The 8,339-nt window shown below is 46.1% G+C and overlaps 1 annotated feature.

Moving 5' to 3' along the window:
* Window positions 6,477-6,977: an enhancer, noted in NCBI's record as "H3K4me1 hESC enhancer chr17:49222416-49222916 (GRCh37/hg19 assembly coordinates)". NCBI's record gives its function as "activates a minimal SCP1, AML or CMV promoter by ChIP-STARR-seq in naive H9 embryonic stem cells {active_cell/tissue: H9 hESC(naive)}" and the evidence as "EXISTENCE:reporter gene assay evidence [ECO:0000049][PMID:30033119]".

The following is an 8,339-nucleotide window of genomic DNA, read 5'->3' as shown; positions in this document are numbered from 1 at the left end:
TTGAGACGGAGCCTTGCCAGGTCGCCCAGGGTGGAGTGCAGTGGTGCGATCTCGGCTCACTGCAACCTCCGCCTCCCGGGTTCAAGCGAATCTCCTGCCCCAGCCTCCCGAGCAGCTGGGATTACAGGTGCCCACCACCACACCCGGCTACTTTTTGTATTTTTAGGAGAGACGGGGTTTCACCATGTTGGCCAGGTTGGTCTCAAACTCTTGACCTCGTGATCCGCCCGCCTCAGCCTCCCAAAGTGCTGAGATTACAGGCATGAGCCACCGCGCCTGGCCCTAATTTTTGTATTTTTAGTAGAGACGGGTTTTCACTATGCTGGCCAGGCTGGTATCGAACTCCTGACCTCAAGTGTTCCATCTGCCTCGGCCTACCAAAGTGCAGGGATTACAGGCATGAGCCACCGTGCTCGGCCTTTATTTATTTATTTGTTTATTTATTTATTGAGATGCAGTCTTGCTCTGTCACCCAGGCTGGAGTGCCTTGGCGGATCTCAGCTCACTGCAACCTCTGCCTCCCACGTTCAAGTGATTCTCCTGCCTCAGCCTCCCGAGTAGCTGGGACTACAGGCGTGCACCACCACGCCCGGCTAATTTTTGTATTTTTAGTAGAGACGGGGTTTCACCATGTTGGCCAGGCTGGTCTCAAACTCCTGACCTCAGGTGATCCGCCCACCTTGGCCTCACAGAGTGCTGGGATTATAGGCGTGAGCCACTGTGCCCTGCAGAAAAGAAATTTAAAACCTTTGTCCTGTGAAAGACCTTTTGAAGAGGACGAAAAAACAAGCTAGAGTGGAAGGAAATATTTCCAAACCACATATCAGATAAAGGCCTTCTCTTCATTTGAAGGTTTGAATATTTGAAGAACTCTGAACGCTCAACAGGTTAAAAAAATCCAATTAGAAAATGGGCAAAAGACATGAATAGACATTTCATTGAACAGGATATACAGAGGCAAGAAAGCACATGAAAAGATGTTCAACATCATTAGCCACCAGGGAAATTCAAACTAAAACCAAAATCGGATATTACTACATGCCTATCAGAATGCTAAAATGAAAGTAGTGATACACCAAACGCTATTAAGGAGGTATAGAAACTGGATCCACATTACTGGTAGGAATATAAAATTGTACAGCCACTCTGAAAAAGTTTGATAGTTTCTTTTTTTTTTTTTTTTTTTTTTTTTGAGACGGAGTTTCGCTCTGTCGCCCAGGCTGGAGTGCAGTGGCGCGATCTCGACTCACTGCAAGCTCCGCCTCCCGGGTTCACGCCATTCTCCTGCCTCAGCCTCCCGTGTAGCTGGGACTACAGGGGCGCGCTACCATGCCCGGCTAATTTTTGTATTTTTAGTAGAGACGGGGTTTCACCGTGTTAGCCAGGATGGTCTCGATCTCCTGACCTCGTGATCCGCCCGTCTCGGCCTCCCAAAGTGCTGGGATTACAGGCGTGAGCCACCGCGCCCGGCCGATAGTTTCTTAAAAAACTAAACATGTGCTTACCATATGACCCAGCCATTGCACTGTTGGGCGTTTATCCAACAGGAATGAAAACTTATGCTCTGTTCACACAAAAACCTGTGCGCAAATGTTCATTGCAGCTTTATTTGTAATAACCAAAAACTGGAAACAACCCAAATGTCTTTCATCATGTGAATGGTTAAACAAACTATGCTACATCCATACTGTGGAATGCTACTCAACAATAGAAAAAAATAACAAACTATTAATACATGCAATATACATAATTCCCTTGGATAGATTTCAAGGGAATTATGCTGACTGAAGAAAAGCCAAACATAAAAAGTTATCTATTGTATTATTGCATTTAACATTTGTGAAATATTAATAACAAAAGTATAGACATAGAGGATAGACTAGTTTAGTGGTTGCCAGGAATTAGAGATGAGGGAAAGGGCCAGGTATGGTGGCTCTCACCTGTAATCCCACCACTTTGGGAGGCTGAGGCAAGAGGATCTCTTGAAGCCAGGAGCTCAAGACCAGCCTACACAGTATAATAAGATACTGTCAGAGGCTTTCGAACCAGAGCAACTCCATCTTAAATAGGGGCTGGGTAAAAAGAGGCTTAGACCTACTGGGCTGCATTCCCAGGAGGCTAGCCATTCTTAGTCACAGGATGAGATAGAAGATCGACACAAGGGCTGGGCACGGTGGCTCATGCCTGTAATCCCAGCACTTTGGGAGGCTGAGGTGGGTGGATTACCTGAGATCAGGAGTTCGAGACCAGCCTGGCCAACGTGGTGAAACTCTGTCTCTACTAAAAATACAAAAATTAGCCCGGCGTGGTGGCGCGCGCCTGTAGTCCCAGGTACTTGGGAGGCTGAGGCAGAATTGTTTGAACCCAGAAGGTAGAGGTTGCAGCGAGCTGAGATCGCACCACTGCACTCCAGCCTGAGCAACAGAACAAACCTCCGCCTCAAAAAAAAAAAAAAAGATCAACATGAGACACAGATTACAAAGACCTTGGTGATCAAACAGTGGTAAAGAAGCCGGTCAAATCCCACCAAAACCAAGATGGCAACAAAAGTGACCTCTGGTCACCCTCACTGCTCATTATATGCTAACTATAATGGATTCACATGCTAAAAGACACTCCCATCAGCACCATGACAGTTTACAGATGCCATGGAAACAACCAGAAGTTACCCTATATGGTCTACAAAGGGGAGGAGCACTCAACTGGGGGAGAGGGGAAATTGCCCATCCCTTTCCCAGAAAACTCACAAACAATCCACCCTTGTTTAGCATATAATCAAGAAATAACCCCTCTGCCTGTAGAGTAGACATTCTTTTATTCCTTTACTTTTTTTTTTTTTTTTTTTTTCAGACGGAGTCTCCCTTTGTTGCCAGGCTGGAGTGCAGTGGCGGGATCTCGGCTCACTGCAACCTCTACCTTCCAGGTTCAAGCAGTTCTCTGCCTCAGCCTCCCGAGTAGCTGGCATTACAGGCACCCGCCACCACGCCCAGCTAATTTTTGTGTTTTTAGTAGAGATGGGGTTTCACCATATTAGCCAGGATGGTCTCGATGTCCTGACCTCGTGATCCACCCACCTCAGCCTCCCAAAGTGCTGGGATTACAGGCATGAGGCATGGCACCCGGCCTAGTCCTTTACTTTCTTAATAAACTTGCTTCCACTTTATGGATTCACCTTGAATTTTTTTTTTCCTGCCTCAAATTATTTCTTGCACGAGGCCAAAGAACCCTCTCTTGGGATCTGGATCAGGACCCCTTTCTGGTAACAATACTGCCACTCCAAAAAGAGAAAGAAAATGTTTTTAATTAGCTGGGCATGGTGGCACATGCCTGTAGGCCAAGCTGCTCAGAGGAGGCTGAAGCGTGAGGATCAGTTGAGCCCAGGATTTCGAGGCTGCAGTGAGCCATGATCGCACCATCGCACTCCAGCCTGGGTGACAGAACAAGACCCGTCCCAAAAAAATATTAAAATGGGGCCGGGCCAGGTGGTTCACGCCTGTAATCCCAGCACTTTGAGAGGCCAAGGTGGGTGGATCACAAGGTCAGGAGATCGAGACCAACCTAGCTAACACGGTGAAACCCGTCTCTACTAAAAAAAATACAAAAAGTAGCCGGGCGTCGTGGCGGGTGCCTGTAGTCCCAGCTACTCAGGAGGCTGAGGCAGGAGAACGGCATGAACCCGGGAGACGGAGCTTGCAGTGAGCCAAGATCGCGCCACTGCTCTCCAGCCTGGGTGACAGAACAAGACTCCATGTCAAAAAAAAAAAATTAAAATTAAAGAGATGGGGAAAAGGCATGGCTGTATTCATAAGGAGATCACACAGGGAATCAGAATCCTATGGTTCGGAAGGGGTAAAACCACCAGAGTGACAATCTTTGAATGCTAAGAAGTATAGACCCTGAACTGTGGTTAATGGGAAGCCATTAAAGTCTGGAAATAGGACAGTGACATGAGAAACATCTTAACATTCTAGGACTTAATAAAACTATTGAAGGCTGGGCGCAGTGGCTCACGCCTGTAATCCCAGTACTTTGGGAGGCCAAGGCAGGCAGAGCACGAGGTCAGGAGCTCAAGATCAGTCTGACCAAAATGGGGAAACCCCATCTCTACTAAAAATACAAAAATTAGCTCACTTTACAGAGAAACAGACTAAAAGAAATGACCCATTTATTTAAGATTATACTGGGGCAGTGACTCATACCTGTAATCCCCAGCACTTTGGGAGGCCAAGGAGGGCGGATTGCCTGAGCTCTGGAATTCCAGACCAGCCTGGGCAACATGGTTAAACCCCATGTCTACAAAAAATACAAAAAAAAAAATTAATGGAAAAAAGAAAGAAAAAAGATTACAGTGGTATATGGGGAGGCTATGTTTTAGACCATGGAGAATCTAGCTACAGTCTGGGGGATAAATTGGACAGGGAGAGGCTGGAAGCAAAGAAACCTAATAGGAAGTTGTTGACATAATCAATAATTAGGGCTGGTCATGGTGGCTCACACCTGTAATCCCAGCACTTAGGAGGCCAAGGCGGGAAGATCACTTGAGGTCAGGAGTTTGAGATCAGCCTGGCCAACATGGTGAAACCCCGTCTCTACTAAAAATACAAAAAATAGCTGGGCGTGGTGGTGGGCACCTGTAATCCCAGCTACTCATGAGGCTGAGGCCAAGAATTGCTTGAACCTGGGAGACAGAGGTTGCAGTGAGCCGAGATCACACCACTGCACTCCAGCCTGGGCAACAGAGCAAGACTCTGACTCAAAAAAGCAAAACGAACAAACAAACAAAAACAAGCAATAGAGAGAAACTACAGCATAACCATGATAGTGCTTAAGAGCATGGGTCTGTTTTCAAAACATGTGGGTGTAACTCTTGGCTGAGTCACTTATTATGAATAGTTACATGACCTTCGACAAGTCATTTAACTATCTGTAAGCATCAGTTTCTAGAGTTGCTAGAGTTGCTAAATGGAGGTAGTAATAGCCCCTGCATCAAAAAATTGTTGTGAGAATTATATATAAGTAATCCAATAAAGATTTAACATGGTGTCTGGCACACAGTAAATAATAAATGTCAACTGTTTGTTCAGGGTTTTTTTAAATAGTTTTGAGTGACAAAATTACCTCTAAAAAGCTATAAACAAAAATAGCATTAAGAGAAATAGGGAAGACCAAAGGAGCCAGTCAGAAGACTGAGTTTGATGTAATGTGAATGATGGAGGATGATACAGAGAGAAAGTGTGCAGTAATCAATGGAAGACATTTATCTGGGGTTCAGAAGAGATGTTATCCTTGAGGAGAGAAGTGGGAATTTTCTGCATAAAGGTGATCTATAGGTCTAAAAAGTATTTAGAAGGGGTGATAATTACCATTCATTTGTTACACAAAAATTGATAATAGCCAACAGTGATTGAAAGATTGCTCTGTGCCAGGCACAAAGTACCTTGCCTGAATTAATTTGTTTAAACTGCACAACTACTCTGTGAGTAAACACAACAATTACCCTCATTTTTTTTATGTGAGGAAGCAGACTCATGGAGACAGAGTAACTTGCTCAAGTGCAGAGAGCTCAAAGAGGTAGAACCAGGGTTGTGTGTGTGTGTGTGTGTGTGTGTGTGTGTGTGTGTTTTGCGCACACAGTGTCTCTCTCTCTGTTGCTGAGGTTGGAGTGCAGTGGCGCAATCTCGGCTCACTACAGCCCTGACCTCCCAGACTCAAACGATCCTCCCACCTCAGTCTCTCTAGTAGCTGGGACTACAGGTACACACACTACCAAGCCAGGCTGATTTTTTTTTTTTTTTTTTTTTTTTTTGTGAGACAGTCCCTCTGTGTCACCCAGGATAGAGTCCAGTGGCATGATTTTGGCTCACTGCAACCTCTGCCTCCCAGGTTCAAGCAATTCTCCTGCCTCAGCCTCCCGAGTAGCAGGGATTATAGGCGCACACCACCAAGCCTGGCTAATTTTTGTATTTTTAGTAGAGACAAGGTTTCACCATGTTGACCAGGCTGGTATCCATCTCCTGACCTCAAGTGATCCGTCCGCCTCGGCTTCCCAAAGTGCTGGGATTACAGGCGTGAGCCACCATGCCCAGCCAATTTTTTTGTTTTGTTTTGTTTTGTTTTGTTTTGAGAGGGAGTCTCACTCTGTCACTCAGGCTGGAGTGTAGTAGCGCGACCTCGGCTCCCTGCAACCTCTGCCTCCTGGGTTCAAGCGATTCTCCTGCCTCAGCCTTCTGAGTAGCTAGGAGCACAGGTGCTCACCTCTATGCCCAGCTAATTTTTTGTATTTTTTTTCTTTTTTTTTTTTTTTGAGACGGAGTCTCACTCTGTCACCCAGGCTGGAGTGCAGTGGCGTGATCTCAGCTCACTGCAAGCTCCACCTCCCGGGTTGACGCCATTCTCCTGCCTCAGCCTCCGGAGTAGCTGGGACTACAGGTGCCCGCCGCCACGCCCGGCTAATTTTTTATATTTTTAGTAGAGACGGGGTTTCACCATGTTAACCAGGATGGTCTCAATCTCCTGACCTTGTGATCCGCCTGCCTCGGCCTCCCAAAGTGCTGGGATTACAGGCGTGAGCCACTGTGCCCAGCCATTTTTTGTATTTTTAATAGAGTCGGGGTCTCACCATGTTGGCCAGGCTGGTCTCGAACTCCTGACCTCATGATTCGCCTGCCTCAGCCTCCTAAAGTGCTGGGATTACAGGCATGAGTCACCATGCCCAGCCCAGTCTGCACAGTGCCAGAACCCAGGCCCTTAACCATGTGTGTGCTGCATCATGATGCACAAGGCTTTATTCTTGGGTCTCACTACCATTCAGTGAGATGGGGTGCAAATAAAGGAGAGACAAGGAAATAACATAATTGTTTTTTGTTTTTTTTTATTATTACATAGAGACAGGGTCTCCCTGTTGCCCAGGCTGGTCTCGAACTCCTGGACTCAAGGGATCTTCCTGCCTCAGCCTGCCAAAGTGCTAGAATTACAAGTGTGAGCCACTACACCCGGCCAACATAATTGTTTTTAAATGCAACTTGAGACCAACAAGACGGCTAGCTCTAATACTGTACAAAGAATGGAATTGATTCAGGACATGACTCCCTGTTATTAATGATTTAAGGAATCAGAACAACTAATGCATTATGCCTGTGTGTGAGAAGAGAAAAACATCTTGGGATGCAGGGCAAAGAGAGAACATTCATAACACCAATTGAGAATGAGCCCCCAGGGAATCTTCACTGCTTATAATCAAGAATGAAGTACGAGCCCTCCCACCTTTGACTCCAGAGTCAACCAACAAATCAAACAGCAGGATCATTTGGTGAGGGTAATTGCCTGTGCTTTACAAAACCCACACATAGGTCATCTGTCTGCTTCTTGCTCTGGAATATGCATAGGTAAACTACCTCCTCAATGCTTCTGAGGCCCTGATTCCTGAGGGAGGGAGGAAGAGAGTTTTTAGGGAAATGTGCATTATTTGCTGATTGGGGAAGGTAGTCATGAGGGACTACTCACATAGTCTGGTTCTACAACCATATGAGGCAGGCACTATTCTTTTTTTTTTTTTTTTTGGCGCGATCTCGGCTCACTGTCTTTCCGGCAGTTTAGCCTAAAAGACTGTACCAGGGTCAAAGTAAGTGGAGAGACTGTTACAGGCAAAGAGCCTGTGGTTTTGCTAAAGGCTTTATTGTACCTAATCTCAGAACATGGAAACAAGAAGAAGGTTATAGGAGAATATAAAAATAAGTGGAGAGATGGTCAAGGAGCTTAAGGAGAAAGGTCGATGGTATTAGAATCATTGTTGATAAGAGCAGAAAATGAAAGGTGTGGCCTCCCGGGTTCACACCATTCTCCTGCCTCAGCCTCCTGAGTAGCTGGGACTATAGGCGCCTCCTACCACACCCGGCTCATTTTTTTGTATTTTTAGTAGAGACAGGGTTTCACCATGTTAGCCAGGATGCTCTCGATCTCCTGACCTTGTGATCTGCCTGCCTCGGCCTCCCAAAGTGCTGAGATTACAGGCATGAGGGGCAGGCACTATTCTTATTTCTGTTTTACAGATGGGAAAACTGAGCACCGGAAGGTTAAATAACCTGCCCAAGGCCACAAAACTAATAAGTGGCAGAGCCTGGTTATGAACCCATCTTACTCTTGCTCCAGAGGTCACATTCTTTTTTTTATTTTTTAGATAGGATCTTGATCTGTCACCCAGGCCGGAGTGCAGTGGTGCAATTTTGGTTCACTGCAGCCTTGAGCTCCTGGGATCAAAGAATCCTCTCACCTTAGCCACTCAAGTACCTGGGACCACAGGTGTGTGCCACCATACCCAGCTAATGGTTTGGTTTTGTTTT

The sequence above is a fragment of the Homo sapiens genome, chromosome 17 (genome assembly GCF_000001405.40).
Source record: "Homo sapiens chromosome 17, GRCh38.p14 Primary Assembly".
Taxonomy (NCBI): domain Eukaryota; kingdom Metazoa; phylum Chordata; class Mammalia; order Primates; family Hominidae; genus Homo; species Homo sapiens.
Note: the sequence above shows the minus strand (reverse complement) of the source record. Positions and strands in the feature narration are given on the sequence as shown.